Genomic DNA, 26,033 nt, shown 5'->3' on the forward strand with positions numbered 1-26,033 from the left:
AGCCTCCCACTTGTGGTAATTTGTTGCAGTAGATTTGAAAAACCAATACAATTAGGAAATTTTCTCTTTCTTATAAAGATAGCTGCCATTTTGCAAAAATGTGTTTATCCTCTGGGTGCCTGTAATACCTTTAAAAACTAATTAGAAGACCAGGCATGGTGGCTCATGCCTGTAATCCCAACACTTTGGGACGCTGTGGCAGGAGGATTGCTTGAGGCAAGGAATTGGAGGCCAGCCTGGGCAACATTAGTGAGACTCTATCTCTATTCTTTAAAACAGAAGGTTTTTAACTCATTGATAAGCAAATTCCTCTGTCTTCAGTCCATCATCTCTAAATTAGAAATAATATTCTTTGATATTGTTATAGTCCTCTTCTCATAGAGAATGGAATGTTATTTGACCCAAGATTAATGCTTAATAGGTATGGAGTTTCATTTTGGGCAAATACTTGGAAGGGTTCAAAGAGTGCCTCATACCTATTTCCAGGATAATGTATGTGCATATGAAATAAACTGTGTGTGGATAAGGGGTTTTTAAATAACATTTTGAAATGATTTTGGATTCACGAGAAGTTGCAAAAAAATGTAGAAGGAGGTTCCATGTACCGTTCACCTAGTTTCCCCTAATGATTACATCTCATATATCTAAAATAATAATACCAAAATCAGGAAATTAAAATGGATACAACTCACAGTTTATTCTAATTTTACTACTTTTACATGCACTCACTTGTGTGTGTGTGAATAGTTATATACAATTTTATCATATGTGTAAATTCACGTAACCACTACCATAATCCAGATACAGAACTGGCCGAGTACAGTGACTCACACCTGTAATCCCAACACTTTGGGAGGCCAAAGTGGGAGAAACAGTTGAGCCCAGGAGTTCAACATCAGCCTGGGCAACATAGTAAGACATTGTCTCTTAAAAAAAAAAAAAAAAATTTAATTAGCTGGGCATGGTAGCACACGCCTTTAGTCCCAGCTACGTGGAGGCTGGGGTGGGAGGTCAAGGCTGCAGTGAGCTATGATTGTGCCACTGCACTCTAGCCTGAACAACAGAGTGAGACTCTGTCTCGAAAAAAAAAAAAAGACAGAACTGTTTTGTCAGCATAAGGCTCCCTTTGCTTATTCCTTTATAGCCACAACTCCTTCCCCCATATCAATAATCTCTGGTAACCACTAATCTGTGCTCTCCATCTACAATTTTGTTTTGAGGCTGTTAAATAAATGAAATCTTATAGTATGTAATCTTTTTTACTCAGAAAAATTCCCTCGCAATCCATCCAAGTTATTGCATGTACCAATAGTTTATTCCTTTTTATTGTTGAGTAGTATTCCATGGTGTGGCTGTATTATCACAGTTCATTTAACCATTCACATGTTGAAATACACTTGGGTTATTTCAGTTTGGGGCTATTACAAATAAAGTTGTTATAAACATTTACATGCAGATTTTTGTGTAAACATAATTTTTCATTTCTCTGGGATAAATGCCCAAGAGTGAAATTGCTAGGTTATATGATAAGTACATGATTTTTGGTTTTTTGGTTTTTTTTTTAGAAAACTGCCAAACTATTTATAAATGCCAGAGTGAATACACCATTTGACATTCCCAGCAGCAATGTATGATCAGTTTCTCCTCATCCTCTCCTTGTCCTCATCAGTAATCGGTATAATCACTATATTTTATCTTTAATAGTTGTGTAATGATATTTCATTGTGATTTTAATTTGCGTTTCACTAATGTAGGTGTTTAATGATGTTAAACACCTTTTTACCTGCCATCTGTATATCTTCTTCAATGAGATGTCTGTTCACATCTTTTGTTCATTTTCTAATTGTATTGTTCAAGGTGTTTGTACTATTGAGTTTTGAGAGTTTCTTCCGTAGTCTAGAATAGACACAAGGCACTTGTCAGACACATGAGTCTCAAATATTTACTCCCAATTTGTATCTTATCTCTTCATCCTCTTTGTGGGATCTTCCACAAAGCAAAAGTTTTTAACTTTGATGTGGTCCAATTTCTCAATTTTTCCTTGCATTAATTGTTCTTTTGGTGTCAAGTCTATGAACTCTTTGCTTAGCCCTAAGATCCAAATATTTTTATCTATGATTTTTCTGAAAGTTTCACAGATTTGTATTTTCTATTTTGCATGATCTATTTTGAGTTGATTTTTGAGGCTTATTTTGAGGTTCATTTATTTGCCCTTCGATGTCCAATTGCTTCAGCACTATTTGTTGAAAAGTCCATTCTTCTTCCATTGAATCACTTTTGCAACATTGCTGGGGATAGAGTAATAAACAAAACAAAGCCCATGCCAACAATATATACACAAATTTTAAAATGTGTATCATAATGTGAAACAGTGTTAAGTGTTATAAATCAGGGTAGAGTAACAGAGTTGAGAAGTTTGCCCTTTTAAATAGGGTGGTCTTTGAGGATATGAGACATAATGAAGTGATGAGTTGAGTCATACAAATAGCTGGAGGAAAATTATTCCAGGTAGAGAAAACCGAAAGAGAAAAGGCCTCTGTGCTTGGAATGTGCTCAGTGTGTTCAGGAACACAGAAAATAGACCCCTATCGTTTAAGAGGTGGAACCTAAGGCAAAGAATGGAAACCAAGAAAACCAGAGCCTTGTAGATGTCATAGGCTGAGGCTAAAAACCCCACTTTGTTTGTGTATTTTGGTCAAGATAGCCAAAGAAAGACAGCATAATAAAACCTACCATTGTTCTTGGTTTTATTGGCATTGTCAATAACTTGCAACATGAGTTGTGAAACATCATTTATTCACTTGATAAAATTTGTTGTGTACTTATTATGAACAAGATTGTGATTAAATGTCTGAAATGCAAAGCAAAATAGAATATGGCCCCTATACTTGCCCAATTCATAGGAGAGTAAGGGCACAAGGATATTCAGTGCCAGTATAATGGCTACAATATGATCATTAGAGATCATAAATATCCAATGATTCACATATTTATGATAAGTAATGATATAGATATTTCACAGTAAGAATGCTGTGAAAGCACTAAAGAGGAAGTCTTGGGTTATACAGAGGTTGCCTAGGGGCATCAGTAAGTGTTTAAAGGAATATTTGAATTGGATTTCGTAGAATGACTAAGAATTTGTCAGAAGAGACAAAGAATATTTTAGAGAGCGGAACAGTCGTGGCAAAGGCATGCAACCTCAGGGCTTAATCCTATCTCTGTTACTTAAAAGAGAGAATTATTCATCTTCCATTTATGGAAATGTAATTCTGACGACCAGGATTATCTGTTTGGCTGGGCATGGTTCAACAGAAAGGAACACCAAGATAATTAGAAATTCTGATAACATTGTCACTCTGAGGTCCATTATCTCAAAATTTACTTAATGTACTCAAAATGTTTTAACCCTAAACATAAGCCTAATCATTCTGCTTCATGTCACCAAACCTCTGGTTCAATAGGCAAATGTGCCTGATATTTCTCCTCTGGCCAGCCTCTAGTGATTTCTGCCCTGGGAGTATTGTTAGAAGAATCATTCCTTCATTGCTACAACTAACCATAGTCTGTGATCTCAGATTTGAGGTTCCTACTAACCATTAAAATTAAGTAAGCTTCTTTTAAAAGTATCATCATCATTACTATTTGCAATATGCCGAGAATTGTGCTAAGCTTTGAGCAGGAATAAAAAAAGTTTTCCCCCCAGGACCTTCACTAAAGGAACTGACAGTGTTACTAAGGAGACAATCCTCAAAATTATGAAATAATTGGGAAACAATTACGGCCCACAAATATTGACAGAGTAGTACATTCCCTCCAACGGATATAACACATATGCTGAGGACACACTAAATGAAATTCGATGAGAAATTCACTTCTCTACATTTTCAGTATCTTTTTTGAAATGCAAATATCCAGGAAACAGTAGACTTTCTGAGGAAATTCCTGAGATAAAAGGTTCAGATGAGTTCAGGGGAAAGGCTTGATTTTCAAGTTTCACATGGTTCTGGAAGAGGTGAGCATGAAGAGGCTACCCATGAAGGTACTGGTTGTGTTGTATGTCAGCATAAGAGGAGATATTAGAAAGAAGTAAGTAGACACCTGATACAAAGCATGCCTTGCTCAAAATTTTGCACTATATCATAATAAAATTTGCAACTATTTTTAAAAATCAAAAGAAGTTACCCTTTGGACAAATAACCAAAGTTACTTATGTATGGAATAAATATGCAGTTATTAGCCATCAGAATTTAAAGTATTTAATGACATGAGAACCCATTCATGATAAGTACGGAAAACTGCTAGAAAACCAATCATAATCCAAAGGAGGGAAAATGAGAGGGAAAAAAATATACCACAATGTTAATGGTGGTTGTTTCCCACAATATATGGGGTGTATTTCCCACCCTATTGCTTTTTTTAAAAAATTCTATGATGAATATGATTTACTCTAGTATTAATAACAAAATGTATTTAAATGGAAAACAAAATTCTCCCTGACATTAATTTTATGCAGGCTTCCATGGATTTTAGAGATAAACCATTATACCCAGTCACCACTGCTGTGTTGAAAGGTCAACATTGTTTAGGTTGCTTTACCCCAAGTCAATGCATTCCTGCTCCTGACTGCTCCCCTCACACGCCCTGGATGCTGCCTTTGACTCAAGGGAGATATGTGACTTGTCCTCTGTGGCCTCACTATCTAGCTTAGAATACACACTATGTTCAAGATGGAAAGGAATTTTGAAGACTCATGGTTTAAAGTGATATGACGAAATATTCTACAGGAAACGAAGGGTGGACAGAATGTTTCTGAGCCCACAAAACAGAGGAAGTTCAAAAAATGAGTTTCTTTTTTGTTCGAATCTATTATTTATTTTTCCTGGGTATGATATAAATCAGAGGACAGGAGACTCTCTAAAACACAAGATAAAAAAGATCTGGAGATCTGATGAAATTTACAATACTACAACTCTTTAAACATATTTTTAAATATAGGTATTTGAGATAGGGTCTCACACTTATCACCCAAGCTGGAATGCAGTAGCACAAATATGGCTGATTGCAGCCTCAACCTCTCAGCCTCAGGTGATCCTCCCACCTCAGCCTCCTGAGTAGTGAAGTACAGGCATGCACCACCACGCCTGGCTAATTTTTGTACTTCTTTTGGAGACAAGATCTCACTATGTTGCCCAGGCTGGTCTCAAGCAATCCACCCACCTTGGCCTCCCAAAATGCTAGGATTACAGGCATGAGCTACTGTACCCAGCAAAATATTTTCAATATCTAGTAGAAAAAAGTTATTTTATCTAACTTAAAATCACAGATAAAATAAATATGAAATGTAAAGGGGTATTTAATACACATGTTGAAGGAATGACCTAAAATTGTTTTGAGTGGTTTTTATAATTTTTAATATCTATTTCTCCATATATATAACACACACATACATGTATACATACACATATACACACAAACACATATATACATACACATATCTATAAATTTAACACATCCACATTACCAATCTTTCATCTCCTTTTATTTTTTATGTGACCAAATAAAGAACACCAGCACCTGCCTAAAAAATGACTTCAGAATCCCCCTGTAAACACAGACAGACAGGACCATCTAAGCCAAAGGCACACACATAGTTCCACCCCAAAGCCTGGCTGCCATTGGGTCCAATCTGACATTGCTGCCTGACTTCGTTTTGGCTTAGACACAGAATATAGTCAGAGTATTCAAAGGGTACTATGGTGTTGTGGCGTTGTGTACTGATAAGGTCCTGTCAGTATCAAGAGACTACAGTAACCTCAAACGAGTAGTGCCACTAAACTCGGATCCTCAACATTACTTAGCTTCTCTTCTGCTCTTGCAACAATTCCCAGTGCTGAGTTTCCAAAGAAACAGTGTGGTAGGGAAGCTGGCCACAAGGACCACCTGTTCTGATCATCATTAGAGTATGCTGTAGGGACCTTTCTCAGGTAAGAGGCCAACACAAGTTTAGCAAAATCAGGTGTGAAAACACTAACCATGGAAGTAAAATCCGTCCACCCCAGCCATGAAAGAAAATTTACAACTCCACAGAGAACACTTGACTGAGAAACCAAAACGTCTGAGGAAAGAAAACAAATGTGCCTACCTCTAAAGAACATTTCGCACAAATTTAAGGCAATTAAAACTTTTTGTTGAGTTTATAATAACTGTACAGCATCAAAATTCTACTGAGTGATTTATACTTCATCTCAAATCATGCAATGTTCCAGCACCTTCATTTTTTAAATCAAGAAATAAAACACCAATGTGAATTACATAGATTCTTTGGATTTTCAAATACATGCATTCTTTTCCACTTGACATTAGATTTTTCTTCAGAAATTGGAATTTGATCACTGAAGAGCAAGGAGTGATGAACATATTTTCTGCAACCACTCTAACCTCAATGTTACCATCTCCCCCATTCCACATTCACTGGTTTCTTAGTTGGGGCAACCTTAATCTAATTATTTGAGATTTGTGACCACTAGGGATAAGAAAAATGACATGAATTAAAGGGGCATGAAATGAGTTTTGGAAGAATCCATAAATGAGTCTAATGTCCTAAGGATTAAACAAGCGAGAGAGAAAAAAACTGCAACATGACATACGGTCTTTTAAAAGATGTATTTTTGTTTCTGTTTAAGGACTTTTTAATCTTTAAATTCCAAGCTTCTATCTACAAAATTCAGGACATTTACATGTCCTCTGCTTGCCTCTTATTTTGCAAGAATTTACCCTCTTTTTGCAAGATTATTACCCTCTTTCTTAAACCCCAAAATGAGAAAAGTTACTTTTATGTTTAATTTTTTGTACATTCTAGTATCTGTTGAGAAACAAAGCCATGACAAAAAGGAAAAACAGGAACCCCACATCTGACAACAATAAAAAAAATTTTAGTTTCAAATATCACTCAATTGGCTGACACATTTCTTTTTCCTATGGGCCAACAGCTGCATGACTCACTGATGTATGTTTTGCCTGCCTTAGCTCTGAGTGGGTTGATGTAAATAGGAAGTGATGAGGAAAATCAAATTGGAGCAAACACATTTTTTCAAGACTGTAACAGGAAGAGATAGGAAGCCCAGGAAGATACTTGATAGGTATTCAACTCTGTAGAAAGGAGGAAGTAGCATGTTGAAGCACTCGGCTAGTTATTTTGAGTTGAACGGAAATGGGATATAACAGAGAAAGGACGCAGATAGGATGCATTTTGTTGCATAGCAACACAGAGGCTAGAAGCTACTGTACATAACTGAGACCATCTGTCTGTATGAAAGACTGAGGAGAAATGGTTTAAAACAAAGAAGAGTGAGGTTAATACATTTGCAAAGAATAGATGAGGTTTCATATTCCATCTAAAAGGCAAATTTTGTGGTTATATAATAATACCTTAATATTTAAATGTGATTTCAAGGAGTTGTTTTTGTTTTGTTTTGTTTTTGTTTTTTATTAAGATGGAGTCTCATTCTGTCATCCAGGCTGGAATGCACTGATGCGATCTCGGCTCACTGCAACCTCTGCCTCCCAGGTTCAAGTGATGCTCCTGCCTCAGCTTCCTGAGTAGCTGGGATTACAGGCACCTGCCACCATGCCTGGCTAATTTTTTTTTTTTTTTTTTTTTTTTTAGTAGAGATAGGGTTTCATCATGTTAGCCAGGCTGGTCTCGAACTCCTGATCTCAGGTGACCCGCCCTCCTCGGCCTCCCAAAATGCTGGGATTACAGGCATGAGCCACCGCACCTGGCCAAGGAGTTGGTTTTAATACATGAAACATGATGCCTTGTGCTTCCATCTTGCCTTTGTACTACACTCCCTGCTTTGGTTCAGCCACTTGCCTGGAAATTTCCAGAAAGGTTAGCAGGTGGTTAGGTTGGTGAGGTGGGTAGTGTTTGTGAACTTTGAAAGACCCAATTCAGCCCTAAAAGTCAATGCCCAATAAAAATTGGTTATCTCAAAGACAAACCAATGGGGTGGGGGTGAGAGGTGGGGAGAGAAGCCCACCAAAGATAACGCCCACTTCTGTCCTGTGAGTTCCCCAAAAGACTTCCTGGGGAGTCACTTCTATCACAGACCCCTGACCGAATGGAAAGACAGGGAGCCACACACAAGAGTATTTCCGGCCGGGCACGATGGCTCACGCCTGTGATCCCAGCACTTTGGGAGGCCAAGGCAGGCAGATCACCTGAGGTCAGGAGTTTGAGACCAGCCTGGCCAACATGATAAAACCCTGACTCTACTAAAAATAACAAAAATTAGCAAGGCGTGATGGCACATGCCTGTAGTCCCAGCTACTTGAGAGGCTAAGGCAGGAGAACCACTTGAACCCAGGAGATGAAGATTGCAGTGAGCTGAGATCATGCCATTGCACTCTAGCCTGGGCAACAGTGATCTCAGTCTCAAAAAAAAAAAAAAAAAAAAAAAGGAAAAGAAAAGAAAAGGAAAAAAAAGAGTATTTATTTCTTAGGAAGCCCCTAGTACAAGTGGGGAAATGTGAGAAGTGGATAAGTTTACCCATTAGGGACAGGAAGTTCTCTCCAGAAATAATGTCTGATTTCCTGCTGCCAAAGGCTGTCAGCCCTGCTGCTCATTTTGCTTCTATAGAAATATGATAGCCTGTTTCCTTCCCTCTACTCCTGATACTCCCCAAACCTGCCCTTCTCCACACCATAGGCTATCAGCAACACTTTTCCAGAGACTGTGCCGCTGTCGCCTCCTCTTCCCTGGTTGACAGACCCATCCTTGCTTCTCTCCCAAAGTGGGGCACAACAGAGGGGACAAAGAATCCATGTAGTCACCCACCAGTGGCATTCTTTCAGGAGAAATCGTGGTCTCTCCCAAAAAAGCATGCATCTGCTTCATAGAAACCTTCACTTTGGCATTACACAAAGCAGAATGCCACCCCAGCAATATTCTAGTTGGAGGAGGTCTTTATACAATACCCATGGGGCAGAAAACCTCAAGGAGAATGCCAAGAATTAAAAAGAACATGAGCCAACACTGCCCTGGGAGAGGATGAGATGTAGGAGTGAATATTAGCCTATTTCCCACTGTTATCCTTTTTGGGGTAATGTTTTTATGTGCAGTATTTTTTGAGTATTAACTTCTTGCACAGTGATGTTATAGATACACAGCACATATAAGAACATGGACTTCAGTCAAAATACTGGGTTCCATGTCACACACCCCTCTTTGCCAGCCTGATGGCCTTTTGGTTTTCTCGTCTGTAAAATGGGCATAATTACACCAAATACATCATGGGTTGGGAAGGATTCAGAAAGACAATTCACACAAAGCATATGCATAGTAAGCATATGCATACACAGTAAACCCTCATTAAATATCACCAATGAGCATTCTGGCAAACCAATTTTGTCAGATAAAGTTAAGAATTTATCCATAAGTTAAGATCTTGGCCAGGCATGGTGGTTCACACCTGTAATCCCAGCATTTTGGGAGGCCAAGGTGGGTTGCTGACTTGAGCTCAGGAGTTTAAGACAAGCCTGGGTAACATAGTAAGACCCTCTCTCTACAAAAAATAGCTGGGTGTGGTGACTCACGCCTGTAGTCCCAGCTACTCAGAGGCTGAGGTGGGAGGATCATTTGAGCCCAGGAGGCAGAGATTGCAGTGAGCCAAGATCTTGCCACTGCATTCCAGCCTGAGTGCTACAGTGGAACCCGGTCTCAAGAAGAAAACAAAAGATCTTAATCCATATACAATAACTAAGTCTAAAATGATGCATAATATTTGAAAATCTCTGCAGAAAAAGAAATGTGAAAAATAATTTTCCACATTGAAATATTAAAAAATCAAGATTACATGGCTCGTGCTATTTTTTTAAATGTGCTATTTTTTAGTGTGTATATTAATTAGTAACTCTGCATACACATTGAAAATTGAGCTTCAATTTTTGCTATATTAATCAAAAGTTGATTTATTATAATCAGGCATTTCTTTTGATATGCATGCTAACCCAGAAGAATCTGGATCAAGATTCCTTATAGCATATTAAGTTTTAAGCAATGGAATAATTTTTGAGTTTTAGTCCTAAATTTCTTAAACCTTAAATATATCAGCAATTTCTCAAACTCATGTGTATAGCCTCTTATTTTTACTTAACATAGCTTACATTTACTTGTTATAAAGCTCTCATGAAATGAGACAGGCAACTGAGATACATGTACTCCAGGAGTAGCCACAGCAGAATGGCCAGGTCCCTATGCCTACAGTGCACTAGGAAACCGAGGCATGGTGTGGCTTAATGTTACAAGCACTTTTATCTCCTGCAGAGTAAGATAATGTAAAAAGCCAGGTACTGGGAGTCCAGAGACCAAGTTCAAACACCAGCTCCATCACCTCTAGCTGAGATACACTGGGCCCTCTGCTTAACCTCTCAGAGCCTTGGTTTCCTAATTTTTTATGGTATAAAGAATACTACTTTGTAGTATAGAATTTTTTAAATAAAATTAAATGGGAATATGAAAGTACCTAGCACAAAGGAGGCATTCAACATGTGTTAATTTCTTTCCATCCTACAATTCATAAAACAAATTTCCTGTCCACATTGCTTTATCAGATACTTAAATGCAAGCACTATGTGTTCTTGGTCCTCAAATGACAGAAATGAAGTAACAATAAATGAGCGAACTGTCTCAGTAACTGTCTCTCTCCTGTACAGTAAGGAATTATCCTTGGTACATCTCACATGACTCTATAATGTGTGGGGAATGGGCTCTACAGGGACCACTCCATGTGTCTTAGTCCCTCAAGTGTAAAAAAGAGATGGACCTTAGTTTCCATGCACTGCCTCATTTTATGCTTATTTTAATATATATTTTTCTCATAAGATGATTTTAAAAGTTAGACTGTCTTTTATGCATATGTGATATTAGTTCATATCAAGCTGTCTACCATACATGTGGTAGTTCTAGTTACATAATTTGCAGATCAATTTATGTCAACATAAACCTGCCCCCCACAGGGAAATCTCAGAGATTCATACTTGGATCTCCTAAAAATCCTCACCTCTACTGTGTTCCTTATCCCCTACTTCAAGTTATACAGTAGTAATCAAGAAAAGGTGAACTCTGACAATCATACAGGCCAGGAATAAAGTCATGATTAGATTTACTAATTAAGAAAAGATATCTGTGTTAAAATATGTTCATCCTGCCTGGTTAAAAGGAAGCTATTGACCGGGCTTGGTGGCTCACACCTGTAATCCCAGCACTTTGGGGGGCCAAGGCAGGCACATCACCTGAGCTCAGGAGTTTGAGACCAGCCTGGCCAAGATGGTGAAACTCGTCTCTACTAAAAATACAATTAGCCAGGCGTGGTGGCACATGCCTGTAATTCCAGCTACTCAGGAGGCTGAGGCAAGAGAATCGCTTGAACCCAAGAGGCGGAGGTTGCAGTGAGCCGAGATCATGCCATTGCACTCCAGCCTGGGAAACAAGAGTGAAACTCCACCTCAAAAAATAAATAAATAAATAAAGCTATTGCTCTGAATAACACTCTCAGTAACGACCATATCAAACCTAACTGCTGTCACATAAAGAACTTTTAGTTACGACTGAAAGGGGTTTCTTTTTCTATAACAGGATTTTCATTACATGAATAACCCCATATTTCAGAGATTTGATATAACATTAAAAGAAACAGGCTTAGTCCACTCAGCCAGTCACAGTTTTAAAGTATAGATTTGATGTCAGATCCAGCAACGTGTTCTCTAAGATAATTTTTCTGAAAAGTTTGGGCCAGACATAGTGGCTCACGCCTGTAATCCCCCAGCTACTTGGGACGCTGACGCAGGAGAATCGCTTGAACCCAAGAGGAGGAGGTTGCAGTGAGCCGAGATTGCGCCACTGCACGCCAGCCTGGGCAATAGAACAAGACTCCGTCTCAAAAAAAAAAAGAAGAAGAAAAAAGAAAAGTTTATAATCTGTAGCACACTAAATATCTCAGTTTTAAAATATGAGTCCTACAAATTAGTAGGAAAACCCTAATTCCAGTTGGCCAATAATGAAAATTGTGCTTAATTATAAGATGGACATATCTCTAAGAGAGAGAGAAAGAGAGTGTATAGAGAAGGAGGAGGAATGAAATGGGGAGGAGGAGGGAAAGGAAGACTACGAGAGGAGGAGTGGGAGAAAAAGGAGGAAAAAAAAGAAGAGGTTGTGGACAGCATGGACATAAATCTGAGGTTGGACCTCAGAGTCAGCCAGATGAACATGAGTTTATGTTCTGTCTCTGACCCTTGCGAGCTGCAGGACCTGTTACAAGTTATTGTAAACTCCATGCCCCTGAGTTTCCTCTTTTGCAAGGGAACAATTTTTTCTACTAAGGATGTCTCAGGGCCTGGCACAAAGATGATGCTCAACAAACAAACGGCAGCTACCAGTGTCCATTTATACTGCTTTTACATACATGTATTTTCATATATTTATCTCATGTGCCCCTTAGATTATTCCCCTCTTGAATACACAGCCTATTCATCTCATTCTTCTTCCCCAAAGAACCAAAGACAATCTTCTGTGCACAATGGACCATTGTAAAAGAAGCTTGTGCCTCATTCGTAAATATTTTTAAATGCTTACATAATAAAAGTCGGTGTTTATTTTATTTATTTATTTATTCATTTCTATTTTATTTTTGGAGACAGAGTCTCACTGCTTCGCCCAGGATGGAGTACAGTGGTGCCATCTCGGCTCACGGCAACCTCCGCCTCCCAGGTTCAAGCGATTCTCGTGCCTCAGCCTCCCAAGTAGCTGGGATTACCGACGTGTGCCACCACGCCCAGCTAATTTTTGTATTTTTAGTAGAGACGGGGTTTCACCATGTTGGCCAGGCTGGTCTTGAACTCCCAACCTCAGGTGATCCGCCCACCTTGGCCTCCCAAAGTCCTGGGATTACAGGCGTGAGCCACCCACGCCAGGTTGGTGTTTGTCTAGAAGTTTATAATCTTGTACATTACATGATTTCGTCACCGGTAGAGGGTCATGACTGCAAGTTGTCCAGGTTCTTGGCGTTTTGAACAAAGAATTGGACAAAACGCCCAGCAAAGCAAAGAAAGGATGAGGCTATGAAAGAAGGAAAGCAAGGACTTATTGAAAACGAAAGTACACTCCAAGGTGTGGGAGCGGGCCGAGCAGCAGCTCAAGGGCTGGATAGGGAATCTTCTTGGGTCCAAATACCCACTAGAAGTTTCCCACTGGCCACTTCATGCTCACCTCATGTAAATGAAGTGGTAGCCCGCAATCAGTCTGATTGATTACAGAAAACAGCCAACCAGAGGCTGAAGTGAAGTTACAAAGGTCGCACTCCTGTACAAACATCTGATTGGTTGCAAAACCAGTCAGAGGCTAGGGTGAAGTTACAAATTTATACTTCTATGCAAACGAAGGCTCAGCCTGCACTCAGTCTGATTTGCTGCGGACAGCCAATTTCCCACCTGCCGCTCAGAAAATGGTCGGGGGACTTGCAAACTGAGTAGCCTCTGGTCCTTTTGTTACTTAGACAGGAAAAGTTAGGGTTTTCCTTTCAATTTCATTCTAGGAAGTCAGCGTGAAACAGCCTTAGGTTCCCTGCCTCCAGACCCTATTCTCCTGCCTCAATTTGCATCCCTTCCTTTTGGGACTGAGTCCCAACCTCCCCAGCCCCGCCCCATCCCACCCCAAGAAGATGGCAGAACAAGTATTACTATCCGCATTTTACATCTAAACTTAGGGTGCCAAAGGCTAAGGGATTCGCCTCAGCTGTTGCAGGCAGCAAGTGACTTGGTCTTCTGGCCCTGAATTCTTGCTCCTCCTAGGGCAAGCTGGGCTTCTCCTGGGAGTCTGAGTTTACAGAAGCTGATGCTGCCTAGCACCCATTTAATCTCCTTCACTTCCGTGGATAGTGTGCATGTGAGTACCAGTTATTACTATGCACAATGTAATGGAGCATTTAAAAAAGAAGATACCATCTTACCCTAATGATCACCTTTCTGCCTATGGTCAGATTAAAATCCCCAAGAAAAATAGAGTATTTCAGAAGATGAAGCACAAATAGCTTCCCTTGTTCTCAGCATTTGATTCTATTTTATTTCCTTTTCCTAATACTGTTTGAAATGAGCATACGACTAAGCAGTCATTTTCTGAGGCATCCAGTATGTAATTGTTGAGGAAATAACTTTGTTGAATCTGTCTTAGCTAATTTATTGTCATGTACTGTGCTGGGCTGAATTGCTACAAATAGTGACATTGCTGGGTTCGTGTAGAATGCTGGGCTCCCCACCCCCACTCCCCCAGAGCACCTCCACCTCCTCCTCCAGTGTGTATGTACTGGGTTTTTACATGAAGTTTTTTGAATAAAAGATGTTGCAGTTTTCTTTAAGGTGGGATTGAAATCTATTATTCTAGATGATTATAAGTTTAACCAAAAGAGAAACTTGAAATGGAAGCAAGAGTCCCTAGACATAAAAAAGAACAGGACACTGGATGATAACAAGAATAAAATTTTGCTGGGCAGGGACAGTGGCTCATGCCTGTAATCCCAGCACTTTGGGAGGCCCAGGTGGGCAGATCGCCTGAGGTCCGGAGTTCGAGACCAGCCAGGCCAACATGGAGAAACCCCCATCTCTACTAAAAAAAAAAACAAAAATTAGCTGGGTGTGGTGGCGGGTGCCTATAATCCCAGCTACTCAGGAGGCTGAGGCACGAGAATTGCTTGAACCCAGGAGGCAGAGGTTGCAGTGAGCTGAGACTGCGCTACTGCACTCGAGCCTGGGCGACAGAGCTAGACTCTGTCTCAAAAAAAATAAAATCTTGCATTTTTAAATTATTTACTTTGTAGAGGAGCATATTAAACCTTGCAGATATTAATTTAGTTCTTACAGTTTCTTTCAGTTAACACAGAATTTTTCTTTCTAGAGTAGAACTGTGGAAACTGAGGGACAGCGAATTGCAATATACCTGCAGGAGTGTTATGGAGCAGCTGTTTGATTTCTGCCCTGCAGTGCTCTCAAGAAGCAGAGAAGAAAAGCAGAGAGTTAACTAGCTAGGGGCAGAGGTGACCCAGAGCAGGCAGGAGGCAAGCTCCTGTGACTCATTTGGGGCTGTAGCCCTTAGACCAAGGTTTGACAAGTGAGGGCAGTGGGAAGTTGCATAAACAGACCCACCACACACTGTGAGGCTTCTCCAAGTGAGAGGAAGAGAGAAGGAAAAGCCGATGTCTACCTACCCAGACAGCCATCTCACTAAGTGGGGCAGTCTCTGCATCTGTTTCCTGATGTACTAATGATGTCTTCCTGTGGTTCCCCGCCTTTTTTCTTCATGTCAATTATTTTGCATGTCTTTTTAATGCCGCCTTTTTAAAAGCTTCTTACATGTCTTTTTAAAAACTTAATATAAATTAAAATTGTATACAAATTAAATTCATTTATATGCTCACTTAAACGTTCCTTGAGTACTTATTCTATACAAACAGTGTGTGCCAGGGATATGGCAATGAAGGAAGCAGAGACAGTCCCTGCCTCTGTGGAGGAGTCTATGTCTGTGCTAGGAAGGTAACAGGCTGCAGATAGCCTTGCTTTCATTTTCAAGAAGCATCCATTTTTTAAAATCAAATTAATACAAATCTTACCTATATTAATGGGAAAACTTCAGTGTTTAAAAGTTATGGCAAAAAAAAGTTTAAATTTTTACTATGTACTCAAAGGAATTCAAAGGAAACAGAGGCTCCTCCTTTTTGGTGGACGAAATCCACCGTAATAAAGTCCTAAAAACCTCCATTATCTTACCTTAAGCATTTTTTCTTTTTCTTTTTTTTTTTTTTGGAGACAGGGTGTCATTCTGTCACCCAGGCTGGAGTGCAGTCGTACCATCACAGTTTTCTGCAGCCTCGATTTCCCAGGTTCGAGCAATCCTCTCACCTCAGCTTCCCAAGTAGCTGGGGCTACAGGCGCACACCATCACGCCCAGCTGATTTTTTCTATTTTTTGTAGAGACAGGATTTTGCCATGTTGCCCAGGCTGGTCTCGAGCTCTTGGACTCAAGTGATCCTCCCACCTCAGCCTTCCAAAGTGCGGGATTACAGGCATGAGCCACTGTGCCTGGCTCTTAAGTATTTTTGACAAGACAGAGGCATTCAAAGTGTGGTCTCCAGACCTGTATCATCAGCATTACTTGGAAACGTGTTTGAGAGGCATGCTGTCTTGCCCCAGCCTAAACCTACCAAATCAGAAACTCTGGGGGTAGGGCCCAGCAACTCGTGTTTTAGTAATCCCTCCAGGTGCTTTTGATACATACTAAAATGTGAAAGCCATTTCTATAAACTGTCAATCAAAGCCACTCCTAATGACAAGGCTCTATGCCTCAACAGGTTGCTATTCCCCACACCTGGAACTGTTTAAATATCATTTATAGGCCAATTTTTAGCACCTGGTCCTTAGGCATGACAAATTTGAGAATAAAACAAGCTTTACTAGGGTTCCCTATGAGCTCTGAGTTCTGCTTTGAGCAACCTCATCCTTTTTGTATTCGCTTGACCAAGCCTTGCTTTATTACTCAGTTGCAGTAACCCTGCCATATTATTCTTTGTAGCCTGTTGCAATAGTCCCAGCTAATATCGTGACCTCCTCATTTCCTAAATACACTAGGTGACAGCCGCCTAGCCTTGAAAACCAAGGTCAAGGTTTACCATTTCATACCTGTCTGCCAAACTTCAGTCTGATTCCGACGTACTATAGGATCCATTGCCTCCTGCTTGCTATGCAGTCTCTGTGAGTGGTGTTTCGTCACATGTTAAATCTTCCACCTGCTGATGGTAGCCATTGCTTCCCTGCCCACTTGGACCTCTGCCTGCAATGTGACTTTCCTAAGGTCACAGGTATTCATGACAATCAGTTGAAACATCCACCTGGCACTGGACAAGAGACCCGAAGCGTGTTCTATTTGCAGGTCTTAGAGACTAGTGGATAAACACCTTCCTATAATTGTATTCGAGAAATAAAATTATATTGTAGGAGATGAAATAGTAGATAATTGTGGTGCATAGGAATCCTGTATCAAATATCTAATATTCTACAATATATGGAAGTCTTATGGGAAAAACACGTATTGACAATCCAACAATCTACGTATTATTTACAGAACAAAGATTACCTTCAAAGTACCACCTTGATTCAATTACCTAGACTGAGGTTCCCACAGTCACTGGTAGAGTTCATGTCTATGTCATCCTCTGCTGCATCTCAGTATCTAGCACAATATGTGGCAACATATAAACACCCCAAAAGTAGGTGTTGATTAAATGAAGGCATAGTCTATTCCCCTTTTCTTGCTTTCCAGCTATTTTTTTCTTTAAGAGACAGGGTCTCCCTCTATCACCCAGGCTGGGGTGCAGTAATGCAATCATAGATTACCACAGCCTCAAGCTCCTGGGTTCAGGAATTCTCCCACTTCAGCCTCCCAAGTAGCTTGGATTATAGGTGCAAGCCACTGCACCCCACTAATTTTTTATGATTTTTTGTAGAGATAGGGTCTTGCTATTTCATCCAGGCGGGTCTCAAACTCCTGGCCTCAAGCGATCCTCCCACCTCAGCCTCCTAAAGTGCTGATATTAAAGAGCTAAGCAACCATGCCAGGCCTAGCTAATTTTCAAATTAGCTTTATCATCATGATCACCTATTTATTAAATATCATTATATGAAACGTTAGAGCTGAAAAGGAATGCTAATTACACAAAGAGAACAAACAGAAAGGAGTGGGTTAAATCGAAACACATGTACACTGTCCTGGGAGTCAGACAACCTGGATTCATCTCTCAGTTGAGCCACTGGTTAACCAAATTACCTGAGCATGTAATGTAACGCCTGGGTGTCTCACTTTCTTCATCTGAAAAAGTATGAAGCTGGATTCCCCTTCTGGCTCTATCATTCTAGTATCATAAAATGGACCAAGTCCCCCTGACTTTTTGTTACAGTGTATAAATAATGTAATTATTATAAACTAGACTGCCCAGTGTTATGTTCAGCTAAGAAAATCCTCAGTGAAGGTTTAATGTTGAACACCCCGATACACATGAGAAAAGTGGAAGACACTCATTTTTTTCTAGCTGCTGTCAAATGTTTATGCATGCTAGTTGTTCTAAAATGAGAAACTGGCCTAATGCTCCCCCACTGTGCCTAATGCAAGTAAAGATACAGGGAATTTTTGTTGTTGTTGTTTTGTTTTTTAATACTGCTTAACTGGCTTTCTGGGTGAGTGTGGTGGAGGAGAGGAAATAAACCCCTTATTTGCAATGTTTGCCAATTACTGTGGTATAAACTCCCACTATGATCAATTTCAAGCTACCAGCATGAAGCCACTGGAGGCGGAATTGGGAAGAGATGTACACAGTTCCGTCTCCAAGGCCAGAACAAGCCAGTTTCAACACACCACTGGCTGAATCTCACCAATCATTTTATTTATTTATTTATTTTGATGTATCTGAGTATTTTTAAGTGTTTTAAATTTTATATGTGTATTCTAGGAATATGCACTCAGATTCTTTCATTAGGCATGTGTTATTAATAACGTTCATCTTTTTTTATTTTTAATATAGAGACAAGTTCTCTAAGTTAAAGAGAAAGTGGAAAGGAGAAAACAGAGACATCAAGGATAAGAATAAATATTATTTGGTTTAGACCAAGCACACTTTGAAATCAGGTCAGGACAACCTCTCACACCGTCAAATCCCCTTCATATGGCCTGTCAGACTGCATACAATTCAGCCCCTCCTACTTATCCAGCCTATCTCCTCCCCAGTTCCCTCACACACTCTGGACACAGGGACCTGCTAGTCCGCAGAGACACCAAGCTTGGTCCCGCTCCAGGGCATTTGCACAGGCCCTTCCTCTGCCTAGAATGTCCTTTCCCCTATTCTTGACATGGCTGACTTCTATACATCATCCAGGCCTCTACTCAAATAACACCTCCTGTCCATGCTATTCAATATTGCCTGCCAGTTCAGTCACTCTCTACACTCCTTCCCTGATTTGTCTCCCAACACTTATCTGAAATTATAGGGGTTTTTTTAGTGGAAGGATGGGGTGTGGAGGAAGAGGGATTTGGGGGTTTATTTTTAACTTTTTATTGTCTGTGTTTCACACTCCAAATAAGTCCTTTAATAAGAGGGTTTAGGTTCATCTCTACTCCATAAATACTTGTAAAATAAATCAATGAATGAATGAGTGTACAGTTTTTCATTATCCATTTTAGGGGACAAAAGTGTAAAAGGGCTTTAAACAAAAGGAATCAAAATGATTTAGCTAAACTACATAAAATAGGCTCCATAAAGAAAGGTTAAAAGAGGATGGGTGCAGTGGCTCACACCTGTAATCCCAGCACTTTGGGAGGCCAAGGTGGGAGGATCACCTGAGGTCGGGAGTTCAAGACCAGCCTGACCAACATGGAGAAACCTCGTCTCTACTAAAAATACAAAATTAGCCAGGTGTTGTGGCTCATGCCTATAATCCCAGCTACTACAGAGGCTGAAGCAGGAGAATGGCTTGAAAGTGGGAGGCAGAGGTTGTGGTGAGCCGAGATCGCACCATTGTACTCCAGCCTGGGCAACAAGAGGGAAACTCCATCTTAAAAAAAAAAAAAGATACTTACATCATGAATAATGACAGAAATGCAAAATAACCCACAATAATATTCTATAACACACCCACCAAGAGTAACATAAATTTAAATTTCTACCACCACCAAGTATGGCCAGCAAGGGAGGTACAGAACTCCCCTGCACTGCTGGAGGGGGTGTGATTTAGTGCAACCACTTTGAAAAACATTTGGCATTGCCTAGTAATGTTGAAAATGTATATGTCCTTTACCTTTACAATTTCAGTCATAGTTATATGCCCTGTCCCATACCATACTATAAGAATGTTCATAAGAGCATTATTAGTAACAGCCTGTAATAGATGAAAAATGAAAAAATTACACATAGTGTGATTCAATTTACATAAAGACAAAATGAAAATACTGTATAATATTTAGGGATCACTAAAGAGGAATGTGTTTGGGGAGGGGCATACAGGAGACTTTTAAGATACTGGCATTGTTCTTTTTCTCCATTTGGATAGCAATTACAGAAGTGTTCCTTAATTTTTTCTTTTTTTTAGACAAAGTCTTGCTCTGTCACCTATGCTAGAGTGCAGTGGTGTGATCTCAGTACACAGCAACCTCCACTTCCCGAGTTTAAGTGATTCTCCTGAGTTCAAGTGATTCTCCTGCCTCAGCCTTCCAAGTAGCTGGGATTACAGGTGGGTGCCACTATGCCCAGGTAATTTGTGTATTTTTAGTAAAGATGGGGGTTTCACCGTGTTGGCCAGGCTGGTCTCAAGTTCCTGACCTCAGGTGATCCATCCAACTCGGCTTCCCAAAGTGCTGGAATTACCCAAACGTGAGCCACCACGTCCAGCCAATGTTCCTTAATATTTTTTAAACCATATATATGTTTTACACCTGTTTGTGCTAATATTGTGTTACAGCCCCCATTTCTCAGTGGCATATAAGGACAACCATGTGTTTTTCTTGCTCCAGGGTGTGGAAGGTTGGCTGGTCTTGACTGCAGACTGTGGGTTGTGTTCAGGTCAGCTCCACATGCCTCCTCGTGCTCCCTGGACTAGCATCTGCTCAGAGCATGTTCTCAGGGTAGATGGCAGAAGCACAAGGAACCAGGGCAAATCAGAGGAAGATTTAAAACCTTTGCTCACATCACAGCCATTAAGATTCTGCCACAGGGCTGGGCACGGTGGCTCACGCCTATATTCCCAGTACTTTCGGAGGCCAACGCAGGCAGATCACTTGAGGCCAGGAGGTTGAGACTAGCCTGGCCAACATGGTAAAATCTCGTCTCTAATAAAAATACAAAAAGTAGCCGGGTGTGGTGGCGCACACCTGTAGTCCCAGATACTTGGGTGGCTAAGGCAGAAGAATCGCTTGAACCTGGGAGGTGGAGGTTGCAGTGAGCCGAGACTCCAGCCTGTGGTGAGACACTGCACTCCAGCCTGGGCAACAGAATGAGACTCCATCTCAAAAAAAAAAAAAAAAATCATTACAAGTTCAACATCATTCCCCATTTGCCATTAGGGAAAGGAAAATCAAAGCCACAATAAGATACAACTGAACACCCACTAGGATGGCTACAATCAAAATGACAGACAATAATGTGTGTTGACAAGGATGTGGAGAAATTGGAACCCTCTTACACTGCTAATAGGAATGTAAAATACTTCATCTACTCTGGAAAACAGATTCATAGTTCCTTAAAATGTAAAAGAGTTACCATATGACCCAATTCTACTCATAGGTATATACCAAAGAGAGAAATGAAAACATATACTTATATACAAATTTGTACACAAACGTTCATGGCAGCATTATCATAATAGCCAAACAGTAGAAATAACCCATACATCTATCAGCTGATGAATGCATAAACAAAAGGTGGCATGTCCATAAAACAGGATATTATTTTTCCATAAAAAGAAATGAAGTGGCCAGCATGGTGGCTCACACCTGTAATCCCAGCACTTTGAGAGGCCAAGGTGGGTGGATCACCTGAGTTCAGGAGTTCAAGACCAATCTGGCCAACATGGTGAAACCCCGTCTCTACTAAAAACACAAAATTAGCCAGGCATGGTGGCACATGCCTGTAGTCCCAGCTACTTGGAAGTCTGAGGCAGGAGAATCGCTTGAACCTGGGAGGCAGAGGTTGCAGTGAGCCAAGATCATGCCATTGCACTCCAGTCTGGGCAACAAGAGCAAAACTCCGTCTCAAAAAAAAAAACCAAAAAAAGAAAAAACAGAAATGAAGTGCTGATACATGCTACAATATGGACGAACTTTAAAAACATTGTACTGAGTGAAAGAAGCCAGACACAAAAAAACCACATAGTGTATGATGCTACTTACATGAAATGTTCAGACTAATCAAATCTGTAAAGACGTGGTTGGTGTATGAGAAGGGAGGAATGGCGAGTGACTGCTAATGGGCACGTGGTTCCTTTTTGGGAATATGAGAATGCTCTGGAATTAGATAGTGGTGACGGATGCACAACATTGTGAACATGCTAAAATCCACTGAACTGGACACTGTAAGTGGTGAATTTTATAATATGTAAATTTTGTCTGAATAAAATATTGGACTCCATTGGCCAAAGTAAATCAATGAGAGAAGAAAATACATGTCCTCCGCTTAATGTAGGAGGGACTGAAAAGTCACACAGCAAAGGCTTGGCTATATAATCCATAACTGGAAGAAGTGAGAAGTAGGAAAAATGATCCAACCTACTAAAAATAATTTTATGTGTTTTTATGAATTTAAACATTTCTTCAAAATTTTTAAAGCAGGATTCTTAACAGAGAAATTTGGGAATGTCTAAACTTAAATATGTGTTGGGGGGGGCAACATATTTCCTGTAGAAATCCTTGTTTTGGGAGCTTTTTGAAATAAGATGGAAATAACCCATATAAAACTTCATTAATTCAAGATGAGAAACAATTGGAATTTGTGAAGTATCTGAATTATAAACATTCTTGAAGTTCACTTTTATTCTGTTCAGGTACAAACAACATAAACTAATCCAGAGGAAAAAAAAATAACCTGGTAGAGATCTTTAGAGAATTAGTTTAGTGAGAAGATTTTGAATTACAATTAGCACGTAAATTATCCATGCATAAATCATGCTTCTGAAATGCTTTGTGGAATTTTTTAAGTGCCTCAAAATATTTTATTCTGTTGAACAACTTAAAAATCTCTTCCTGCCTCCTAGTCTTATTTACATATTTAATGTGTGTTTTCTGCAAATAAAGTGTTTGCTTAGCAAAATAAATCTCAGTACTGCTCCTGACTCAACCATCGCCAATTGGAAATTACTCAAGTTTCAATTCTACTTGGTTTTACTCAAAGTAAATCACGGTAAAGCACTGAATGGGAGGCCAGGTGTGGTGGCTCATGCTTGTAATCCCAACACTTTGGGAGGCCAAGGCTGGAAGATCACTTGAGCTTAGGAGTTCAATACCAGCCTGGGCAACATGGAGAAACCCCATCTTTACAAAAAATGCAAAAATTATCTCAGCATGGTGGCATGTGCCTGTAGTCCCAACTACAAGGAAGACTGAGGCAGGAGAATCACTTGAGCCTGAGAGGTCAAGGCTGCAGTGAGCCATGATCATGCCACTGCACTCCAGCCTGGGTGACAGAGTAAGGCTCTGTAAAAAAAAAAAAAAAAGCAGTTGTATTAGTCCGTTCTCACACTGCTGTAAAGACATACCCGAGACTGGGTAATTTATAAAGAAAGGAGGTTTAATTGACTCACAGTTCCGCATGGCTGGAAGACCTCAGGAAACTTACAATCATGTTGGAAGGGGAAAGGGGAAGCAGGCAACTTCTTCACAAGGCAGCAGAGGAGACAGCGTGTGAGAGCCCAAGAAAAACTATCATTTATAGAACCATCAGATCTCATGAGAATTAAGTCACTATCATGAGAACAGCATGGGGGAAACCACCCCCATTATCCAATCACTTCCCTCCCGCTATACGTGAGGATTACAATTTGAGATGAGGTTTGGGTAGGGACACAGAGCCAAACCATATCAGCAGTGAATGGGAATAACAAAAGATTATAAATTCAGCTCTCAGAATTAATGTGCCTGGATGTTCTGATTCCTGATCCAGTGTTCTTTTCCATACACCGGGCTTATGCTGGCCAATGTTAATATTCACCTGAAAACAAAATGCTCTCCTACATAGAAATTTTTCTGTGAAGCACAACTCATTAAGTCTTCTTGGCTTTATCTAAAACTGATCTGATTGTGTTACAGTTAAACTCATACCTCTCTCATCTCACCATAACCTAAATTATCCTAGGTAGTTAGAAGCCAGTCTGAAAATGATCAACATGCTCCAAAGGAATCATTCTTTGGTTCAAGATCCAGGAGAAACTGGGTAGAACCTCTCTACACACAGAACCCTACTAAATTGCAATTACCACCTTCACATTCACTGCTCAAAACTCAGCTCTTAAGAAGGGGGTGCACCATGGGCTTGAGAACCCTTGATTTCACGGGTTACCAGAAAATATCGAGAAGGAAAATGAGCAAGGTAGGGAAAGAGATAGCAGCAAATGTGTTAGAGGCAATTCATATACTAACAGACAGCAGAACTACTATAGTATTGAAACCAAAGAGAGAGAAGAAATGCAAGAAAACAATTATAAGAAAAAGATGAGATACTCCCTAGTCCAGGGCCGAATAGCTAGGCTAGTTCTGTCCTTTCCAATAGGAGGCCTCTACTGCAAACATGCTCTGCCAGATCCTCAGTCAGGCAAAGAAGCACCCGAGGTTAATCCCTCTCCTTGAATTTATTGAAGCTGGAGGTACTGGAGCAACACTGGATGTCTTGCATCTGGCATTGTTCAATCCAGGTGTTAATTGAGACAGAAACCATAACCCAGAACACTGGAACAAACTGGGTCCCAATGATTGATACAAGCTCTATTCAGTGAATGTGGATTATCACAAACTGAAGAAGGTCCAGATTTCTTTTTTTGTTTGTTTTTGTTTTTGTTTTTTGTTTTTGAGATAGGGTCTCGCTCTGTCGCCCAGGCTGGAGTGCAGTGACGCGATCTTGGCTCACTGCAACCTCTACCTCCCAGTTCAAGTGATTCTCATGCCTCAGCCTACAGAGTAGCTGGGACTATAGCCATGCACCACCACACCTGGCTAATTTTTGTATTTTTTAGTAGAGATGGCGTTTCACCATGTTGGCCAGGCTGGTCTCAAACTCCTAACCTCAAGTGATCCTCCTGCCTCAGCCTCCCAAAGTGCTAGGATTAAGGCATGAGCCACTGTGCCTGGCCAGAGGTCCAGATTTCTAAATAAAATGTTTCACCATAAAGCTGCTTAGAATGAAGGTTTTCCAGAAGCCACTCACAAAATTTTCCACTTATGTAGGAAATATTTCTCCTCTAAATGCATGAAATCATGTTGATGTGTTGGAGATCACACTGATTAATAAATATCTGAAACTTAAAAAAAAAGGAAAAAAGAAACCCATTTTTCTGACAATTAAAACAAAAGGAAACTGAAAGAAAGCAAAAAGGAGGAAGAAACTGACAAATGCATAACAGGAAAGGCATACACTATTTTTTCTTTTCGAGATGGAGTCTTGCTCTATCACCCAGGCTAGAGTGCAATGGCACAATCTTGGCTCACTGCAACCTTCGCCTCTCAGGTTCAAGTGAGCGTCCTGCCTTAGCCTTCCAAGTAGCTGGGATTACCGGTGCATGCCACCATGCCCGGCTAATTTTTTTGTATTTTTAATAGAGACGGGGTTTCATCATGTTGGCCAGGCTGGTCTTGAACTCGTGACCTCAGGTGATCCTCCTGCCTCCACCTCCCAAAGTGCTGGGATTACAGGTGTGAGCTACTACTCCTGACCTGCACACACTATCTTATGTTATAAAGATAATGTGGACAAAGTACCTGATCACACATGGTAAAAACTCAATCATATTTGTTGAATAAATAAATTAATGACTGACTCACTTTGAAGTAACTGCAATAAAATCAAACTCACTATTTTATCTCCAAAACTCATTATTTGCTGACTTCCCTTCTTCTGTAAAAATGTAATCATTTTATGTTACTCAAGTCAAAACCCTGGAACCATCTCTGCTGTTCTTTTTGCCTCTCCCCTCTCAGCTTCGATTGTTTAAGGATAATTAATTCTTCCCCCATCAGGTCTATTTTATTCATCCCTTTCTGTGGACTCTGATCACCTGAGTCCATATCTCAATATGGATTAAACAAGCATTTAGTGTATGTACATAACATGTCCTGAACCCGTCTACTAGTTATATATCCTACACCAGTCTATAATTGGAGTTACTTCTTGCCTTCAATGAGTTCAAATCAGACATATAAATAATACAATATGACAAAAGTAACCATGGAGCTATTTATAAGGAA

The 26,033-nt window shown here is 40.1% G+C and overlaps 1 pseudogene, besides 1 other annotated feature; it reads left to right on the top strand.

Moving 5' to 3' along the window:
* Window positions 4,407–4,701: a silencer, noted in NCBI's record as "tiled region #1256; K562 Repressive non-DNase unmatched - State 24:Quies". NCBI's record gives its function as "represses a minimal TATA promoter and a strong SV40 promoter by Sharpr-MPRA in K562 cells {active_cell/tissue: K562}" and the evidence as "EXISTENCE:reporter gene assay evidence [ECO:0000049][PMID:27701403]".
* Window positions 24,364–25,790, top strand: LOC107985114 (cytochrome c oxidase subunit NDUFA4-like; annotated as a pseudogene).
* The last annotated feature ends 243 nt before the right edge of the window (window positions 25,791–26,033 follow it).

The sequence above is a fragment of the Homo sapiens genome, chromosome 1 (genome assembly GCF_000001405.40).
Source record: "Homo sapiens chromosome 1, GRCh38.p14 Primary Assembly".
NCBI classification, from domain to species: Eukaryota; Metazoa; Chordata; class Mammalia; order Primates; family Hominidae; genus Homo; species Homo sapiens.